We start from the raw sequence: 22,304 nt of genomic DNA on the forward strand, positions 1-22,304 counted from the left end.
TGTTAGAACCATAAATTACCTAATTCTTCTTAACACCAATTACCATTATTTGATCCCTGAAACACTTGCATTAGTTGACCTCGAACTTCAGTGAGCTCATATCTGAACCTGAGTTATTATCTCTCCTTTTTTATTTTTTCAATTTTCCAAAGAGAAAGTACCCTGAGGGTGGCCTTCCTCTGAGGTGACAGTATGATGTAATGACATTCAGGTCACTGTGTCATGAGCCATTGTCCAGAAAGTGATAACCCCCATGTCCACTAATCCATCCTTGAATGCTGAGGTTGGATTCAATCTGGCAAATGGAAAGTGACTCGCCAAGCTCAGATATTTGCCCCAAACTAACTGCACAGAACTATTTTAAGCAACCTGTAAACAGCAGGAAAAAATCACAAAGCAGCAGAGAGAATTCAAGGCGATGCTCTGCTGCAGAATCATTTCCTGTGGCAGTTAAGATTTGTTTGGTTATCTTCTTCAGTTTGCTACTTAAAACAAAACAAAAAAAAATATATATATATATATATATATATAAAACAGCTCTTTTTTTTTTCCTCTTCCCTTCTTCCCCTCCCTTAGGGCCTCAGCTTGTGTCTGTGCATAAGTCCCAGGGTCTTGGGTGTCAAATGTCAGGCCTTGTACTGAGCTGTCAAAGAGAAGAATGGGCTGAGATGATTGATGACTGGGAGGCCTGAAACCCAAACCTCCACTGCAAATGCTTCTTTTACAAAAAAGCTGGGGCTACCCACAGCGCCTATATTCAAGGTCACTTCGCATACCATTACACCCACCACTGTAGGCTCCCGACAAGCCAGGCCATTCACACAGGGGCCGACTTCTCAGCCTCGCTCACCCCCTGTCTCTCCACCCCTCCTCTGCTCCCCTCACAAACCCATGCCCAAGTGTTGGAATACTTAATCCCAATCAAATAAAAAAGATGAGCACAAAGATATGTATTTTTTCATCTTGTTTGGTTTTGTCTTGTTTTTCTTCAGGCTACATTTGCTCTGAGAAGCCATGAGCTGGAGCTTTCTGGAGCACAAGTCAGATGACAAGATTATTAATGGGAGCAGGGCAATGTCATATCTGATTTCATGCATATTCATGTAGGGAGCCACACAGCTGGGACCATGCGCTGTGGAGAGGACAAATAAAGAGTGCTCTACCCCCCACCCCCAGCATGAAGAATGTCATTGTGGAGATGAGGAGCCTGATTGGAAAAGTTTAAGTAATTGTAGCCTTTATTTTGAAAAAAAGGGATAGAATTTGCAGAAACAACAACAAAACAAGGTTTGCTACCCTGGCCAAACTAAGTCAATACTAAGTTATACAGAACCTTGTATCTAAGGGTCACCCACCTAGAAGCTCTCTGGATTGAAGTATGCAGAGAGACAACTTTTGCACTTGGTGTCAACAAAAGAAGTAAATGTTTAGAAGCAAAAGAGAAAGAAGGAAGGAAGGAAGGAAAGAAGGAAGGATGGAAGGAAGGAACAAAGGAAGGAAGAAGAAAGAAAGAAAGAAAAAGAAAGAAAGAGAAAAGAAAGAAAGAATCAGCTTCTAATGACAGTTAAAACATGGACTGCTCTCCCAGTGAAAGATAAAGTATAGTTAGTTATGGATTAAACAATGTAAAATCCTAAGAGGGATAAAACTTAGTTAGTTACTAAGACCAGGATCCAATATCCTTTCAGTCCCAACAAAATAATTGCCAGGAAATTCCTTGCAATCTTAATTCCGTAGCCCAGACAAGCAACAAAGCAGTTGTCTGTACCCTAGGACTATTTTGGAAGTTCTACATGGTATTACAGAACCTGCCAATCATAGCTAAGAGACTGACCAGGAAAGAAAGTTACTCACAAAAGTGTATTGTGCAACTAACTAGAACGAAAATAAGGTTCTCAAGAGGCACCAGTATGAGAAGAACTGTTGGGAAGAATCTTCTTGGCCATCCACCTGGGCCCAAGCAACCACAGGGAACAGGGACCAATGAGAGGAGGCCAAATAGCTGTCTTCAAACAAGAAAGGTGGACACGTCTAATGTTCCCCTCTTTCTTATTTATGTATTCACTCATTCGTACATACATGTGTGCATGCATTCATTTTACTGTGAAAATCATTCTATTCTAGGACTGTTTCTTGGAATTATGTAAGTGATTATTATTTCAGAAATTTTCAGTTAAATATTAGCTATTAGCATAATGGAATTCATGCTGTATATTCATTATATTTAATTATTTAATATGGAGATCAAATAAATATGTTTCTACCCACTTAATATCTTCCGTATAATAATAAAATAGGTGATGGTAACCAGAGTTGACAAGTCACTCCCTCCCATATCTCCAGTTTCTGATTCTCAGTTAACTCCATTTGGGAAATATTGAGTAAGATGAAGGTGTGTGAAGCAAGTGGCAATTATTCATTTGTAGCTTTGTAGAACTTCTTAACTAGCTCTAGTTCGTATGAGAACATTGGCAGAACATATACAATATGATTTTGTGGGCTTGGAAAGTGACTTCTTCTCCCCTCCTTTTCTTCCTCAATCCATGTGTCAAATGCAGGAGTCTGTCTCAAACAATAAAGTAAATTGCAGGGACCCAAATTTCAATAAGCACAAATTCAAAATTTGCAGTTTTGTGTAGGTAATAGTTTTTTTTCTTTTAATTTCATCAAAAATATAGGTAGTGTAGTTAGTTAAATCAGATGGTTTATATTAAATCCTTATTAATAAATATCAAATATTTTAAATAGAATACTAATAACAAATTAAGTTTTATGAATCCTAATGATACATTAGGTTTAACATAAAATATATTAAATTTATATATTTATTTCTAATAAGAATGGAGAAATCATGGGGGAAATATGTTCTGTAATCTCCCTTCCCTATCCTCTTTCTCTATTATTATTTTTTTTAATGAAAGAAGAGCACTGAAGATGTCCGCAGAATCTCACTATGCGTTGCTGAAAAGTTTCAGGATAAGTAAAAAGAAGAAAAGAGAGATTCAAGGAAGTTCTAGAAAGCCAACCATTCTGTCTGTTGGCTCTGTGCTGAGGGTGCCCCTGGCGTGGAGAGGCCTCTGGGAAGGGTCTCTACAGAGGGAGGTTTTGGAGGCTGTGCTAAGCTTGGGGTCATGGCTGTAGAGGGAGGACTCAGGCACCAGCCTGTGGGGGAGGCTGGGACAATGTGGGATTCAACTCGGAGAAGCCTCTGAGGCAAGGCAGCCAGAAGCCGGATAAGAATAGAATATGAACAAGACAAACACACGGGCCAGCAGGGCTAGGCGGGAGGTCTGAATTTTGGCAGGGAAGTGCTGAGGCCCTTCAGGCAGAGCAAGCTAGACAGCAAAGGTGAAGGCGAAGTTTGCATTGCCAAGGGAGAGGCTGGAAAGTGAAGGCAGCCCACGGCCTCAGCCAGGGAGCCACTGAGCTGCAGTTCTTATCTGGACTACATATTAAAAACACCTGGGGAACTTTTTAAATTTTATTTTTTATTATTTTTAGTAGTTCTTAGACACAGGATCTCACTCTCTTGCCTGGGCTGGAGTGCAGTGGTACAATCATAGCTTGCTGTAAACTCGACCTCCTGGGCTCAAGCATTCCTCCTGTCTCAGCCTCTCCAGTAGCTGGGACTATAGGCATGCGCCACCATGCCTGGTTAATTTTTTTATTTGTATTTTTTGTAGAGACAGGGGTCTCACTACATTGCCCAGGCTGGTCTCAAACTCCTGGCCTCAAACAATCTTTTTGTCGCCGCCTTCCAAAATGTTAGGATTACAGGTGTGAGCCACCACACTGGGCCCATTCTTCTTTAAATAGTTGGAAGGATTCTTCTTTAAAGCTATCTTGGATCTAGGCTTTTCTATTTAGAAAGATTTTTGATTATTAATACAATTTCCTTTTTAAAAAGGGAAAGATATAGTAAGATGATTTATTTCATCTTGAGTCAGTTTTCGTAATTCATTTCTTTCTATGAATTTTTCATTTCATGTATGTTCTAATTTGTTGGTGTAAAGTTGTTCATAATATTCCATAGCAATCCTTTTAATTTCTTTATAAAACAATCTTGATAGGCTGGGCTTAGTGGCTCATGCCTGTAATCTCAGCACTTTGGGAGGCCGAGGCAGGCAGACCACCTGAGGTCAGGAGTTCCAGACCAGCCTGACCAACAGGGAGAAATCCCATTTCTACTAAAAAAACAAAATTAGCTGGGTGTGGTAGCACATGATTGTAATCCCAGCTACTCGGGGGCTGAGGCAGGAGAATCGCTTGAACCTGGGAGGCAGAGGTTGCAGTGAGCCAAGATCGCACCATTGCACTCCAGCCCGGGCAACAAGAGCAAAACTCTGTCTCAAAAAATAAATAAATAAATAAATAATGAAAAATAAAATAATTTTGATACATTGTTACTTTCAGTTTTTTCTTGGTCTAGCTAAAAGATTTTCAATTGTGTTGATCTTTTCAAGCAATTAACTCTTCATTTCATTAAATTTCTCTATTTTTTGTGCTTTCTATTATATTCATTTTTATCTTTGCTATTCTTTTCTATTTGTTCTGGGTTTAATTTAATATTTCTAATATTTTAACTTGGAAACTTAAAATATTGATTTGAAACCTTTACTTTTTTGTAATATTGGTGTTTTACAACTATAAAATTCCTGTAAACATTGTTTTAGCTGTACTCAATAAATTTTTATGTTTTCTTTGTATTTATTTAAAAATATTTTGTATTTCCTTTGTGTTTTTCTTTTCCTTTATGGATTATATAAGTATGTTATTTAATTTCCTTATATCTGTGAATTCCCCAAATATTTTTCTGTTGTTGATTTTTAATTTAGTTTTTTTGTGATCAAAGAGCATATTTTGTATCATTTTGATTCTTTTAAGTTTAGGAAGATTATTTTATGGCCTAGTATATAGTGTATCCCTGAGAATGTTTCATGTGACCTTGAAAAGAAGTATATTGTGCTATTATTGGATGAAGTATAATATAAATGTCAGTGAGGTCAAAGTGGTTGATAATATGGTTCAAGTTTTTATATCATTCGAAGACTTCTATTCATTTTTGAGAGCAGGGCATTAAAATTTTATTGTCTAATTGCCTATTTTTTCCTTTTACTTTTCTAAGATTTTTCATTCATTTATTCTGGGGCTATGTTGTCATGCATATATATTTATATTTACCTTATCTTCCAGATGTATTGACCTTTTGTCAATATTTCCTGTCTTAAAGACTATGTTGTTTGATATTTATATAGCCACTCTAGCTCTCTCAGCTACTGTTTTGATGGTATGTCTTTTTCTATACTTTTATTCCTGCTTGTTTGTGTCTCTGAGCCTAAAGTGTTTCTTTACAGAGAGCTTATAGTTGAATCATGCTTTTTTATCTAGTCTGACAATCACTGCCTTTTCATTGTAGGGAGAATTAATCCATTTATATGTAACTTAATTATTGATCTCATAGGATTTACATCTGCCATATTTCTAGTTGGTTTTAATGTCTCATGTCTTTTTTGTTACCCTGTTTCTTCTTTCCTGTTATCTTTTGTATTTACAGACATATATAATATAAATATTACTTCTATATTTAACATTAATATATCCTTATATTAATATGGGAATTATATGAATATAACAATATATTAAATACAATATATAATGTTATCTATTTAATTATATTAATTATATATGTATGCATTCTAAAATATAAACATAATATATTTATATATTAGTGTAATCTATAATATATATTTAATATTAACATATAATATATTGTATCAAATATATATGTCCAAAGTATAAAATGGTAGGAAAGGAGATATATAACTATATTTAATGTACTACAATATGATCTATATATAATTCATATACTTATATATATCAACATAATATGTATCTAATGCATGTACATATGTACACATGTTACATTGCTATTAGGATTAAATGCTACATTGCTATTTGAATTAAATATGTCTCATGTCTTTTCGTATTTACATATACATGTATAATACACAGACACACACATTTTAACTCCCCTTTGATTCTCATACACTTTTAGTTATTTTCTATGGCTCACACAATCGTTATTATAAACCCCTTTGGATTTACTACCTCAGTCTGTTTTTTGTTTCTGTAACAGAATACCACAGAGTGAGTACTTTATAAAAAAAAGAAATGTATTTCTCACAGTTCTGGAAGTTGAGAAGTCCCACATCAAGGTGATTGCATCTTGCAAGGGCCTTCTTGCTGTGTTATCCCATCGCAGTAGGCAAGAGGGTGAGGGAGGGCAAGAAACAGAGAGAGAACCAAACTCACTTTTGTAACAAACTCATTGTCTCAATAAGAATCCAATTCCCCAATAATGACATGAATCCATTCATGACAGCAGAGCCCTCATAGGTCCCACTCTCAACTCTGTTACATTGGGGATTAAGATTCCAACACATGAACTTTGGGGCAGACGTTCAAACCATAGCAAATAGTAACAAATTTTTTATAAAATATAGAAATCTTGTTCCACTATAACTTCATTCCTCCTCCTTATTTTTTCTGTCATATGTATTGTATCAATATATTTTATCAATCTGACAATACTGGGTGATAATTATTGCCTTATGCAATCTTGACCCTTTTAGAGAAGTTAAGAGAAAACAAAAAAACTTATACAGCCTTATATATGTACATGCATGTTTACCATTTCAGGTCCTTTTTATTTCTTCCTGTGGATTTGTGTTAATGTCTGATGTTATTATTTCCAGCCTGAAGGAATTCCTATGGTATTTCTTGTAAAGTGGGTCTTTGTTTATCTGGCTTATTTTAGCTTACCAAGGTGGATATTCTTTTTAAATATAAGCTGTGTGTTTATCATTATACATTGTTTTAGATGCACCCCACAAACTTTGATATGCTGTGCTTTCATTGAAAATATTTTCTAGATTTCGTTTTAATTTCGTCTTTGTGATTTATTTAGAAGTGTGTTGAATTTCTGATATGAGGGTTTTTGTAGGTATTTTCTTACTATGATTGCCAGTTTAATCCTTTTGTGAGCAGAGAATAATACCTGTATGATTTGATCCTTTAAAATATATTAAGAATTGTTTTATATCCCATCATTTGGTCTATTTTAATTTATCTACCATGCACTCTTGAAAAGAATGTGTGTTGTGCAGTTGTTGAATGATGATCTGAAACCAGTTAGATCATGGTACTTGATAGTGTTGCCCAGATCTTCTATTTTCTTATTAATTTTGTCTGGTTCTATCAATTCGTGAGAAATCACAATTGTTAAAATCTCCTACTCTGATTGTGGAATTTTCTGTGACACTCTTTGTTATATTTTTTTCTTTTTATAATTTGAGACTATATTATTAAGTGCATGTACATTGATAATTTTTATGTCTTTCTCATAAATTGTCCTTTTGTCACATTAAAATATTTTTTTCTTCTGGTATTACCTTTTTTTCTTTGTCCTTATTGTATCTGATATTAAAACAGCCACTCCAGCCTTCTAGTGCTTACTTTTTCAAACATACATTTTTTTCTATCCATTTACTTTCAATACATCAATTTTACACACACACACAATATAAAAACAAATGTGTTTCTTATAGGCCACATAGAGTAGCTTCTTGCTTTTTATCCACGATGGCAAGATTTTCTGCATTTTTAAAAAATTGAAATGTTTGAACCATTAACATTTAATGTAATCTTTAATATGGCTGGATTTAGAGTAATCACTTTATTACTTACAATTTTATGTAGTTTTTTGTTCTTTCTTTTCTGTCTTTTAAAAAAATTTTGAGAATTTTCAAAACTTTTTATTTTAATATATTGATTGGTTATTAATTTACATCTCCTTGAATTATTTTAAGTGGTTATTCTACCGATTTTAATAGACATATTTAACATTTTACAGTTAATATTGCACCACTTTATGTAAAATGTAAATCTTTATAACCATATCACTTTGTTTCCCCACCACATGGATCTTCATTTTATAGATGTCATATACATTACATCTACATACATCAAAATCCTCACCAGACAATATTATAATTTTTGTTTTAACAATCATACATACTTTATGCTTAAGGAGACAAAGGCAACATTTATCTTTACACTGCTATTTACCATTTCTATTGCTTTTTTTTTATTCCTAAATATCTAAGTTCCTCTCTGTAGGTTTTGCCCTCAGTGTGAAGGAACTCCTTTAGCCTGTCTTGTAAAGCAGGTCTGTCGGATATACATTTTCTTAGTTTGCTTTTATCAGAAAATTTCTTTATTTCACCTTCATTTCTGAAGAATACTTTTACTGCAAATAGAATTGAGTTGACAATTACTTCTTTAGTATTTCAAAGATATTGAAAGATAAATCTACCATCATTCAAATCATTTTTCCCCTACATGTAATGTGATGTATCTTTACTTGCTCTTAAAACATTTTCTTTATATTTGGTTTTGACCCAATTGTAATATATTTAAGCATGATTTACTCTGAATTTATTCAAGTTGGAATTTGCCAATCTTTAATCTATAAATATGTCTTTCACAGGATGTGATAAGTTTTTGAACATTATTGCTTCAAACATTTTTTTCTGCCCCAATCTCCCTTCCCTCTTCTTCTGAACTCAAATTACACATAGAATGGGCCTCTGATACTGTTCAACATGATCTCAAGGCTCTGTCCATTTGTTAAAAATCTTTTCACTCTGTTCTTAGGGCAGCTCCTATTGATATATCTTCAAGTTTGTTTACCTTTTCTTCTGTTTTCATCATTCTGTTATTGAGCCCACTTTATAATTTTTAATTACTTACATTTTTCAGTTTTAAGTTCACATTTAGTTCATTGTACAATTTCTATTTCTCTGTTGATATTCCCCTTTTTATCAATCATTTCAAGTGTGTATTAACATACATAATTATGAAAGCCTTGTTAAAGTATTTGTCTAAAACCTCCAGCATTGAGATAATCTCAGGCTTGGCATACTTTTTTAGCCATTGCAATTTTATCATTTTTTGTTGTTGTTGCTGCTTGTTTCATTTATGTATTGATTAATTTTGGATTGTACCCCAGACATCATGAATGACATGCCCAGGGTACCATCCTGTTAAGATTCTCCAGAGAATGTTGATGTTTTATTTTTACCAAGTGCTCCACTTAGGATTAGATTGTAAGTTGTGCCTTCTCCTCCGTAGGACATGGTTCAATCAGGTTAGTCCTCCAAATCTTTGCTATACTATTTAAGTTTGCCTCATGTGTGAACAGCTCAGAGGTTAGTCAGACTTTTGTGCAGGTGATTCAATTCAGTTCTCCAATCCTTTATCACTTTAGTTTGTATTTATTCCACATACATACACCCCAGGGACTGGGCTGAAAGACTTATGTGTGCCATTCAAATCTCTTTTCAGTTCTCTAAGCCTTAGCTAAACTAGTATTTGTCTGTCCTACATGTGTAACTCAAGACTTAAGCTAAGACTTGTATGTGCTTATTCACAGAATTAGATGATCCTCCTCTCTCCCTTTCAGCATCCCCCTCAATAATCTATGACCTACAGGGATGCCTTTCTCTGGTTCCTTTGGCCAGAAAGATGGGGTTTCTCTCAGATTTTAGCTGAAGGTTCCACCCCTGCTCCCATGCTGCCCATGACTGGGCATGAGAGAGGTATTGCATGACTGAAAGAGAAAAAAAAAAATGCTAGGTAACTTAGCTCTGTGTAGTTGCTTCTCCAAATTTTGGCTCCACTGTACCTGCTTTTGTTTACTTTTCAAAGTCCTCAGTTAGTTGTTTCTGCATTTTGTCCAGAGACTTTAGTTGTAATTAATTACTGGAAGGAATGGGCTAAAGTGGGCTACATCATTGTGCTGGGGCAGGAGCACCTTTGATCCCCTTCCCCTACCACGACCACATAGAAGGTTTCAAATAAGAGAAGTTAGTTGGTTGCTATGTGGGAAGTGATATGACAACAGAGTTGTTGAATTATTTACTCTAAATTACAGCTAAAGGTGACCTGAACTAAGGGAGTGTTACTGGAATAGAAAACAAAAGTAGATTATGAGTAAGAATTGACAGAACGATAGGAATGATGGGATGTGATAGGTGGCAGAGAGGAGGAGTCACTGGTGAAGGCCTGTTTTTGATTTAGTTCGCCATTTATTTGGCAATGTTCTTCATTAAAATAGTGAGAATATGACATAAAATTTAGGAGATGGGTGGGAAATAAGATTTTCAATTTGGACATGTTAAGTTTGGGGTATCCATGGGATAGTGGAGACGTTTATGAGCAGTTTATAGACTCATTAGCATAAAACGGTTGCTCATCTTTGAGTCTAAACTTAGGCTATTATGATAAGTTTCATTCTCCCTCTGCTTTACATAGCAACAAGACTTTTGATGAACTACAGGAGTTATTGACATTTCACTTCTCCCCAGTACCGTCAGTCATTGTTTAGAATTTAAGTATTACAAATGAAATCCCGAGATTAGTGAAGGCATTGCCATTTTTTGTTCCACTCAGATGTTTTGTTTTTTCTCAACTTTGAGACTTTGGGGATTTTATGGATGACATGATACAGAATGACTATGTACTTGTAGTTGTGTACAAAGTACTAAAATAATGCCTTTTGATTGATTCAAATTTACATTCACAATGGCCTGATAAAAGGAACTAGTTATTAAAGCTTTATCTACACATCACAAAAACTAAGGTAGCAACTAAAAATTGTCAATAATATATAGAGAGAGGCAAAGGAGGGTTTACTAAGTGAAAAGGGCAGAAAAAGGGTTCATGTTTATTGAGTCTTTTGAAGTGCCAGCACTTTTATATCTGTTATATAATAGCATTCAAAGTTCATAAAATCACTTGAGATAGATATTATTAGTTCTACTTTGAAAGTGAAGCAAGTGAGACTGACAAAATGGAAACATTTGCTTATTATCAAATGCCTAGGAATCAGTAAATTCTAGATTCAAATTCCTGCCGGAGGGTCTTCAAATGAGATGTTGGAAGTTGTTGCTGTTCTGGCTATGTTAGCCTACAACAGTGAGCAGCTCAATAAAAGATTTTGGAATATCAGATGATTTAGGTATTCCAACTCTGCTCCCATAAAAACCTAGTGGCAAAGTAAGAATTTATGACTATAAGGAATTAAAGCAAAGCTTCTATCCATTATTTATGATTGATCAGTTTCATAGCCCTTTTGGCTAGAGGAAAAATTTTCTCCACTTAATTTTGTCCAAATGTATCAAAGGCTGTTTTGTAAGGTCCCAGTAAAGACATCACACAAGGAAACTGTGAAATAAAGGCTCAAATTAAGCCTCATGTGATGTGCTGTCTTGACATCTGAAGAAGCTGGGAGGGCCTTGAATGGCCTAACTGTTAAGTTCTTCACCTGTCTCTGCTCCCACAGATATGATTCCCTAGCCAAACAACCCTCCTTATCAAGTAGACCAGATACAGATCCTATGTATCTCATAGTAATAAGTTTCAGTTCCTTGCCAGCCTGTGGAATTATTCAAATAATCCTATCACATCCCTCTTGCCAGCCTGTGGAATTATTCAAATAATCCCATCACATCCCTCTGTGGGAACCAGGGGTCACTGCACCCTTTTGCTGCCATAGGTCACCTCCGACAGACCTGCCACTTCACTCTGGTCCTGGGCGCAACTGCTGTGTGTCTCCACATGACATGCAGTGTCCTTTTCCCCTGGGAGTGGGTTTATGTGACTAATAAACGGATGATGATCTCATCTTCCAGTGTCAGGTTGTGTGTTTGGCCATTCCCATCACCTTAGGGTAGAAATCTCTCCCTCATTAATAGAGTGAATAGGAGGGGATTAAAACAACACTCATCAAGGAATAATAATCGTTAAGTGAGAATTTTGATCTTTTGTTTCATTGGCATAGGAACCATCCAGAGAGTCAGCGTATTAGTACGTTCTCACGCTGCTATAAAGAAATACCTGAAACTGGGTAATGTATAATGAAAAGAGGTTTCACTAGCTCATGGTTCCACAGGCTGTACAGGAAGCATGGCTGGGGAGGCCTCAGAAAACTTACATTTATGGTGGAAAGTGAAAGGGAAGCAAGTATGTCTCACATGGCTGGAGCAGGAGGAAGAGAGGGAAGGGGGAGTTGCTACACACTTTTAATCAAACAAATCTCATGAAAACTTGCTATCATGAGAACAGCAAGGGAGAAATCCACCTTCGTGATCCAATCACCTCCCACCAGGGCCCTCCTCCAACACTGGACACTACAATTCTACATGAGATTTGGATGCGGACACAGATCCAAACCCTACCAGTCAGAGAATCCCTGAAGCTAACCCCAAAAGTGACCTCTTACTTCATGGATGCTCTGAATAAGAGATCAGGGGAAGATGAATAAAAGACTTCAAGAAGCCTATCTTGTTTCACTGTCCTTTTCTAAGAGTAAAGGGAGAAATACATAGGTGAAATCTGGAGTGTTAGATCCTGGAAAAATACAGCATAGTGACGAAAGGTGCAGACTCAGGACTCAGGAACTGGTTTCACGGAGTTCAAATCCTAGCTTCCACACATACTAGTTTTGTGGCCTTTAGCAAGCTTATTTACATCTCTATGACCTATTTTCAGCCCCTGTATAAAAAGGAAATAATTATACCTAATAATATAATTGGTAAATGTGGTGAAGATCATAGAACTTTAAGTAGCAAAGTACTTATTTCAGTGCCTGCTTTTTGCTAAGTGTTATCTGATTAATAATGCTGGTGTTTCTGTCAGTAATAGTATTATAAGTAGAATTATTAGGTAGCCATTATGTTGAACCATATGAAATTAACACTTTTTATGTAAAAATGAGATAAAATATAGGCAATTTCTTCTGATCAGCTTCATTCATGTACATATTCTTGGTGTTAACCACTGAGAAGAGAAATTCTGAAACTTCAGGTTATTACTGATTTCTTACTCTGGAGAAGCGTATCTGACATGGTTTGGCTACACGTCCCCACCCAAATCTCATGTCACATTGTAATCCCCACGTGTCTGAGGTGGGACCAGATGGGAGGTGATTAGATCATGGGGCTGGTTTCCCCCATGCAGTTCTCATGACAGTGAGTGAGCTCTCATGATATCTGGTGGTTTAAAAGTTGGTAGCAGCTCCCTACCCCCACCTGCAACCACGTAAGATGTGCCTTGCTTCCCCTTGACCTTCTGCCATGATTGCAAGTTCCCTGAGGCCTCTTCCAGGCATGCAGAACTGTGAGCCAATTAAACCTGTTTATAAATTACCCAGTCTCACGTAGTTCTTTCTGGCAGTGTGAATACGGACGAATACACACAATCTCTAACAGTATCCATAACAGAAGTTCAGTAACCACAGAGCATGAAAGTCATGGTCAGGTTCCTGGGACTTGTATACAGATAGGGACTTGTACACAGATAGGGACTTGTATACAGATAGGGAAAGTCTTATATCACCCACTAGGTGACAAAAAGGCTGTAAGCTTTGTGAGATTTCAAGGGAAGAAAAGAGCTTTGCAGCAGACTCAGGCTGTGGTGTGAGCAGCCCTGCTACTGCCGTGTGACCTGGCAGATAAATGATATTAGATGCATCAGTGGTTGGAAAAGATGCCAAAGGGACAGCAAGTAAGAAAAGATATCTCTGCCCTCCTGGCAAAAGTAATTAGCACTACCATCAGGAGGAGGTAAAACAGAGAAGAACAAGTTCAGTAACCATCTGGGTGCCTCTTGCTATACTTCTTCCTAATTCATGGTAAATGAGCAAGTGCAGCCACCATAGCCTGAGAAGTGCATAGTGACTACGGGCATGCAACCCTTCAGAAATGAGAATCTTGGTCACTCTACCCTCCCCACCACCACCCCACCCCACCCACCCCGGCCCAGGAAAGGTACCTAGACCTGCAAATGGGCCAGCTTAGGATGAGGGAGATCTAGAATGGCTAGTAGGAAAAGGGCATGATAAGTATTGTTAAAGCCTCATGACCAGCAGTCATGGTGAGGACTGCAGTATGTCCTATCAACAACCTCTTCTTATGTTTCCTCACGAAAAGAAGTCACCAGAATTCTGAAGATGCTGAGCCCCAAACTTACATGAAGCCACTGGATTTAAGTACAGCAAGGGGTGGATTGTGATGGATGCTGTGAGATGCCCTCCACAGCCCCCAGGACTGAGACCCCCATACTTTCCTAGCCACTGGGAGTACTAGTGACTCACAGCTGGAGTTGAGAGCCCCTCTCCTCCTCGTGAGTTTCCCAGATGGAAGCGTGTCACCTCACCCAAGCTCATGTGTCCTCCCTTGAGTAACCCACATGAAACACCTGGTCTATGTAAAAAGCCTAGTCCTTTACTCCACTAGGGGACAACTCAATGGGACCATTCCAGCCCAGCTCAGACCTAGGTTATGAATGCATCACAGTCTGATTTCTCCTTCTATCAAATTCTGATTCCTTCCATCCAAGGAAAGTATAGATCCTGAAAGCACACCCCAGAAAATTCCCAGCCACAATCTCTGACTCAGTCAAGCCTCCTGGGGAACCTGACATGTGACATACTATTTGGCTCTGAATAAGTACTCAATTCTTCTTAGCTGTCATTTTCTAATTGACCAAGCTGGAGCCAATGGGGTCCAACCAGGAAATAACTTTATTCTCTCTAACCACTTGCTGTGAAGACTAACCAATGCCACTGCTAGGTGAAATATCAGACAGGTCTTTAGGGCTTCTAATTCTCTTTAGTAATGTAAACCGTCTTATAAACCATAAGTAAAATGGCCATCCTTTCTCTGGGTGCTCTCAGCTTCCTAGGTGGCCTTCTTTGGGGGGCTTTTATTTTTTTTTATTTTTATTTTTTTTCAGAAAATTCCAGAAAACTTCTCCCAAAGGGCCTACACTTGGTTTTTGAGAAACCTGCACTATCACAATGTTCTGCAGAAGTCATAGAATATCCTTGTCTTTGCTTTCAGATGTCTCCAAGTGGTGGTGAGACATCATCAAATCCTAAGAAACAATATACTTGAAGATTTTTCACTCACTGCATCAAAGGTAAGAAAAATACTTCTCTCCACTCCCTAAAGATATGTTACTTTTTTGCCTCGTCAACCTGTTCTCTTACAGTCTGGAGATCCGTCATGAACGATGCTGGCAGAATGAGTTTTATCACATCCTGATGTGGTAGTTCAGCTCTTCCACTTAGGCTGGTAGGGTTCTGAGAACATTATATTTTTCTCAACAACTGGGGCCCTGGCCCAAAAGGAGACAAAAAAATCCCTCGTTAGCATCCCATTATAATTATTATTAACAGTAATTACATGTAAGAGCAAATGCCACTCTTGTTATTTACTTGAAAATTAATTATGTAAAAAAATTGTTAGCAAATAATTTCCCCATATGGCTTTTTGTACTGGATGTATAATAAAATGTAGATTGAAAGTGAACTATTTCTTACAACATAAAGAGTAGATAAAAATCTACTTTCACGATCTGACTGGCAGTTTTGGAATTTGAAATCTCTGTCTTTGTCTCTCTGTCTTTTTCACACACATGTGCACACACAAACACACAACTAGTTCATTTGTTTTATAAACATTATAATTTGCTTCTAAATTATGAGCTACTGGATGTTACTGGAAGACACATTTCTACAAACAAAATATTCTGGGAGCAGATAGATTATTATATTATCAATAAATTAAAAGACAAAACATAATAAATGGAGTATTTTTTGCTATACTTTTCTTTTGTAACCTTGGGTTTTGAATCACTATCTACATCTCACTCTAGTTCATACAAACTATGATGGAATAAATACAGCTGGAACAATCTATTGAAGCTCATTGCACAATTATATTTTCACACTGCTGATTAACTTATATGTTTACATCACTGTTTTAGTCTTCCTTTCTTTAATCAATAGTATTTTATCTCATTAATAATTTATAGACATAAAGGAAATAAGTCTAAGAATAAAAATAATTTGCTTGCACACTATAACCACTGAAGTAAGACATGGAGGTGTGATTGACAGCCCATAAGAAGCATTATCAGATATCCACAAACTCCAGAAATATTTGAATTTCATGTTGCTCTTGTAGGTTCTCAAAACATTCCATTTTTAAAGAGGCAATATTTTGATATTGTAGTTATTGATTTAAAGTAGACATTAAAAGATAAACCCTGTCTCCACTAAAATACAAAAGAAATTACCCGGGTGTAGCAGCATGCACCTATAGTCCCAGCTGCTAGGGAGGCTGATGCGGGATAATTGCTAGAACACGGGAGGTGGAGGTTGCAGTGAGCCAAGGTCGCACCACTGCACTCCAGCCTGTGTGAGAGCAAGACTCCGAGAGACTGGAGTGAGCAAGACTCCGTCTATAACAACAATAACAACAAAAAAAGACCTCACTACTGTTGTAAAGGCAAGAAGTGTTTGGAGACATTTGATGGACCCCTGGGACAAGGTGGTGAAGATGGAGGGGAACCATTGAAGGAATTTCCACCAGAATGAGGTAGTATCAGATTTGCCACAATGTGGTGAATTACGAGATATTAGGGTGGGAGGTGGGTGGCCTGGAAGATGGAAGAAGAATTAAATTTTATTGCAACAATCTAAAAAAGAGATGGTAACAACCTGAACTAAGATGGTAACAGGATTTGGAGAACTGGATAGATTCTAAACAAAACGTGGAAGGAATACCTTTACCTTTGGTAATTGCTTGCTTGTGGAGGGTGGGGGTGAAGCAGAGGACAAAGATGATGTGAAAGTCTGGTTTGGGTCACAAATTAAATATGGTGTCACTCACTGAGATAAGGATGACAGGAAGAAAATTAAGAATAGGTTTTTATAGGAAAAAAAAAACTTCAGTTTGCAATATTTTCAGTTTGGGTATTTGTGGTTAATTCAAGAAGCTATGTCACCTGAGGGCATTTCCACAGGTTTCTGGAGAGAAGAGTAGGAATAATTGGAATTGATGATCTTGGTTAGTACTCTGTAAGGCATCACCATACAAGGGACTCACCATCAACTGCTGGTTACCACTCTCTGAACATAATACTCATCTTATAGATTAATTTAGGCGTTTTGACTTAAGTGTTAAATTCTGTCAGGATTACATGTGTTTATTACCTATCCCAAGTAATATACAAAACAATAGAAATTAAGACAAACCTTAGAAGTTCCATTACCTATATCTTCTTGCATCTCATGAAATAAGATCTATGTCACTAACCTCTGTTAAAATAACTTCTTAAAACTAACTTTTTAAGCTCTTTCATAAATTCTTTAAGCTAATCTCTTTGAAAAATTCTCCATTTATCCTAAACTGAGCCAGTTAATAAAAATGAGAAAAAATGAGAATTTGGAGAAAATTTCATGATGAGAACAGACTGTAGAGCTCAGTGGTATCTCACATTTTTCCAGCCCTTTCAAGTAAGGCTGATGCTCTTGCTAAATGTAAAATCCTATATTAATTTCCCATATCTTACACCACTGCATCGTTTCTGCAATCAGTAAAGTACTGGATAATTTAAAACACTAAAATATGCCATTTTTCTCATGCCAATAAACCAAAGAAAAATCCACTGATAGAGATGATAACAGTGTGAAGAACATGACAGGGAGATCAGAACAGAGGAAATAGCATGCTAATGACATTCAATATTCTCCCTGTGTGAAGTCATCAGCATTTTTATTGCAACTATTTCTCAGCATACACTATTAGAATTTATTGAGTCAATCTGTCTCCATCACCTGTGATATAATATATTTTATTCAATAAGATATGAAATAATATTTATCTTTCAACTCCAATGACTGGTTTTCAGGACAATAACTGCCTATCAACCAAGCATTACAAGAGTAGGAGAAGTTGTACATTTTAATATCTGACCTGAGAGTTGTCATTTTAGCATCTGCACATTTGGTATTAAGAAGGGTGCAGACTTCAAGAAATCACTCAGATTCAACAGTTATGGCAAAGGATGGCATCAAATTATGTTTTAAATCAGTAGCACGGTGAAGCATACTGCGTGAAGTTGAGGAAGGAAAAGAGTCGACTCTGAAGTTAACTCTACAAGACAGTTATACTAGAATCTCTATACCAGAAATAAGAATTAAGCTCACGACTGAGCTCATTCATCTCATAAAAAAAATGGGAAGGGAAAAAAATTTTTTTAATGTCTCAAATAGCCCTCATTTAAAATTGAGACAGAAATGAATCTGTAAGTTATGTTTTCAAGTTGTCTGTCTGAATCTGGGGCATTCAGGGAAGCACATTGTGTCTGATTTTCCATGTCAGCCACTTGGAAGGAAAACTAGACTGTTGATGGCTGCGTGGTTCTTTGGAGGGCGGCGTGTAGGTTTCAGTCAGCCACGCGATAGAATTAACCAAGTTCCCAACTTTCTGCACTGTTCAGCTCCCTGGTGGTCTGTCACCTCAGGTAATTTTGAGAAAAGAAAGAATTGAGTCTTTTATTCCCCTATGTGCTTTGATAAACATTTATTTCATATCCGCTTTTTTCCAGCTTTCCCCTCAGAAACCCCATGTCAACCTGTGACAAAGAGGTGTCACAGCACTGACATGATTGAGTTGGTATTTGGTGGTTTCACCTCAGAAACGAAGGGGTCCACAACTCCTGCTGGTAAAAAGCACTAATTCATCTGCTGTTAGCTTTACTCACCAGGAAGTCCCCTCTCCCAGTCAGAGAGCATAGAAGTGCACAGAAGCTACTTCCTGTCAGGCAGTTCATTGCTTGATTGTGTCAACTACTGCCGGCCTGCATGAGTGGGTCAGGCAGCAGGTAAAATACAGAAATATCTGCCTTCCAACAAGCTGTTGAGATGTCATCTCAACACGTGTCCTGGTGACACCATGTGTGCCCAAGGCAGCCATCTTTACCACTCTCTGCCTCCTTTTTTTTTTTTTAACTGTAGCCTGAGTTTTATTAAAATTAAACAAATTTAAAAAGTCAACTTTCTATGCCCCAACCTACATGTGCTTACTTATTTATTGCATATTAGAAGAAAGTGGAAAAATGTGGATGTTGAAATCATCGTATTTGAATTTGAATCCCAGTTGAGTTATTTACTGGCTGTTTCATCTTAAGTGAACTCCCTCTGAGCTGCATTCTCTTTATCATTAATGCCTGCATTTAAAGGCCCATGGTAAAGACAAATGAAATCATATATATAAAGGAATCGCCTCTCTGTGTGACTCATAAGTAGGTGCACTTGCTTTCCTCAGCGGGGGCAAAATGAAACAATTAAACTTTTAGGTTATATTATTCTCTCAAAAGAAAACATAGGAGAGTGCGGCTTGTTGGTTCATTTATTTACTTATTACTGCACAGGAAGAGGGAGACAGGAAGGAGGAAGTGTGGTCAGGAGAGATCATGCATTAACCCCATTGAGAATTGCTCTAAGTGTGTGTTTTGTGTATCCTACTTATATCTTCTTAGTGTCCCCATTTTAAAAGCACGTCCTTTCTTTACTTTGCCACTGCACAGGATGGTAACAATCAGATTAAAAGGAGTGTATGAGGTTTAAGATTTGTGTTGAAGCTTTACTGAAGTCAAAAGAAGGTGTTATATTCCCAGCTTAGTGGGAGAGTGCTTGGCACAGGAAACCTCAGCCTCAAATCCTTGGCTGTCCTCCATAGATTTGAGGTTGCTTTGTTGTGTGTGTGTACTTTTGTGTATTGGAGGGGAAGGGGAGGTGCTGGAATTGGGGTGTGACTTTGGGGAAAGTGAATGGAGTGGGGATATCTGATAAAGAGATGTGTGGGTTTGGATGAGTTCCCATTTTTTGTGCTCTGGCTTCAGGACTAGACAGTCATATGTACCAATGTTAGCTCTACCAATCGGAGCAGGTATTACTGTGGCCAAGTGCTTCAACCACAAGGCACTTGACTTATCTGTTGGTTGGGGAGAAGAATATCTATCTTATGGAAACTAAATGAGGAAATATATGTAAGGTACATGGAGCAGTGACTGTTCATCGCTCATTACATGTTAGTTTCCTTTTTAAAATGTGGCTTCTTACCTTATATCCTGATGTAATTGAATCAAGGAGAATGACACTGTGACATCTATTCCCCTTGCAAAAATGCTGAGCAATGAAACAGCCACTTTAGACCTTAAGCTTTCTCATAGACAATCTATCTCAAAACTTCTCTCCCATTAAATAAAACTACACTTCCTTGGACCATATGTCCTGATTAGATGTTCAAATGATATGGTTCTATGAAACCTACATGACACCCTTTATTGTATATGAAAATGAACAATCCAATTAATCATCAAGACTGAAGCCAGCTCCCAATCGCTCAGATGGCCCTAATGGAATGGTAGGTTATTGGATATTTATTTAATGAGTTATTGAGAACCTACAAAGTGCCAGACACTGTTCTAGGTGCTGGGGATACAGAAATAAATAAGATGTGAGAAGTCCCTGAACTTCAGAACTTGCAGGACAGTGATGGAACCATACAAACTATCAAATACCTGCACGAAGTGGTGTCTGGTCCTGATTAAATTCTAAGAAGAAAACCAAGGCAGGATACAGGGATAGACAGTAAAAGAGGGGAAAGGTCTACTATAGATAGGAATGGTCAAGGAAGTCGTCTTGGAAGAGGTAATGTATCTGAGATCTTAATGAGGTAAAGGAGAAATCCAGGCAATGAACTGGAGGAATAATATTTCAGAAAGAGAGGACAAACTAACCTGAGACAGGAGAAGACTAATACAAAGAATACTGTGGTTGGGGCTTGAGAGAGCCAACATATGAGGAAGAGAGATCTGTCAGGTAGGATATAGGTGATAGAGATGTATTAGTCCATTCTCACACTGCTATAAAGAACTACCTGAGACTGGGTAATTTATGAAGAAAAGAGGCTTAATTGACTCACAGTTTCACAGACCTAACAGGAAGCAGGCCTCAGGAAACTTACAATCATGGCTGATGGTAAAGGGGAAGCGAACACCTTCTTCACATGGCAGCAGGAGACAGAGAGTGAAGGGGGAAGTGCCACACACTTTTAAACCATCAGATCTCATGAGAACTCACTCACTACCACAAGAACGGCAAGGGGAAATCCACCCCCATGATCCAATCACCTCCCTCCAGACCCCTCCTCAAATTTGACATGAGATTTGGGTGGGGACACAAATTCAAACCATATCAAGAGATAATCAGGAACCAGAGAGAGCCAGGCAATGTAGACTGGGCTTAACAATGTGGATTTTATCCCAAGTGCAACATAAAGCCATTGCCAGGTTTAGAACCTGAGACTGCTGTTATCTCCTTTATATTTTACCAAAATTACTCTGGCCACTCCATGTAGAACTGGCTGTTAGGGAACAACGGTGTACACATTTCTGCTGTAAGCATTGTTTAGTCAATGCAGTGTGACTCAATGGTGAGCATGGACTGTGCAGCCTGCTCCTCACCAGTGGGCTGACTCTAGGCAAGGCACCGAACTTAGAGTCTTGGTGTTCACATACATAAATTGTGAGGAAGATGACCCACCCCCAGGACTATTCTGAGAAAGTAATAAAGGGCAAATGTGAAATGCTTGGCGGTGTGCCTGGAAAATAATAAGTGCTCAAAAGTGTTAATTCCTCCTTGCTCCTCATCTAATGACTCTTCAATTATTCAGCTACTTAAGGATAGTTAGCCTTTACAATAAGCAAGGGGCTTTGGTCATTACAGAGGGTATGGGATCTCACGTCTTCCCTTGGAGGACTCTCAGCCCAAAAGGATTGGTGGAGGGTAACATGGAAAAGTAGAAGGGCAGATCACAAAGTAATTGTTAATGTCAAATGATGCATGGAGTGAGTTCCAGGGAAATTCAGTGGAAAGACAATGACCACAGTGGAGTTGCCAGGGATACCTTCGAGCCCCTGCAAACCTCAGGGCAGTGGGTGAGCAAAGGGCAGTTGAGTATTAACATTAGCCCACATGTTGAGCAACAAAAGATACTTAGTGAACAGAGTGGGAGAGAAAAAGTATTACGTTGGCAATGGTAGAAGATAAAGTTGGAAATATATGATAACTCCAGGCTGTGGAGATCTTGAGATACTGGGTAAAGATGCTTGCTTTTTTGTTTCTTTGTTTGTTTGGTTGGTTGGTTGGTTTCTTAGACGGAGTCTTGCTCTGTCACCCAGGCTGGAGGCAATGGCACTGTCTTGGCTCACTGCAACCTCCGCCTCCTGGGTTCAAACAATTCTCCTGCCTCAGCCTCTCGAGTAGCTGGGACTACAGGCACATGCTACCACACCCAGCTAATTTTTGTATTTTTAGTAGAGACGGG

The 22,304-nt window shown here is 37.7% G+C and overlaps 1 annotated feature.

Annotated features, from left to right (window-relative positions):
- Nucleotides 550-779: a silencer, noted in NCBI's record as "fragment chr15:96259179-96259408 (GRCh37/hg19 assembly coordinates)". NCBI's record gives its function as "represses an EF-1alpha promoter that drives an FKBP-Casp9 reporter gene in an ReSE screen in K562 erythroleukemia cells {active_cell/tissue: K562}" and the evidence as "EXISTENCE:reporter gene assay evidence [ECO:0000049][PMID:32094911]".

The sequence above is a fragment of the Homo sapiens genome, chromosome 15 (assembly GCF_000001405.40).
Source record: "Homo sapiens chromosome 15, GRCh38.p14 Primary Assembly".
NCBI classification, from domain to species: domain Eukaryota; kingdom Metazoa; phylum Chordata; class Mammalia; order Primates; family Hominidae; genus Homo; species Homo sapiens.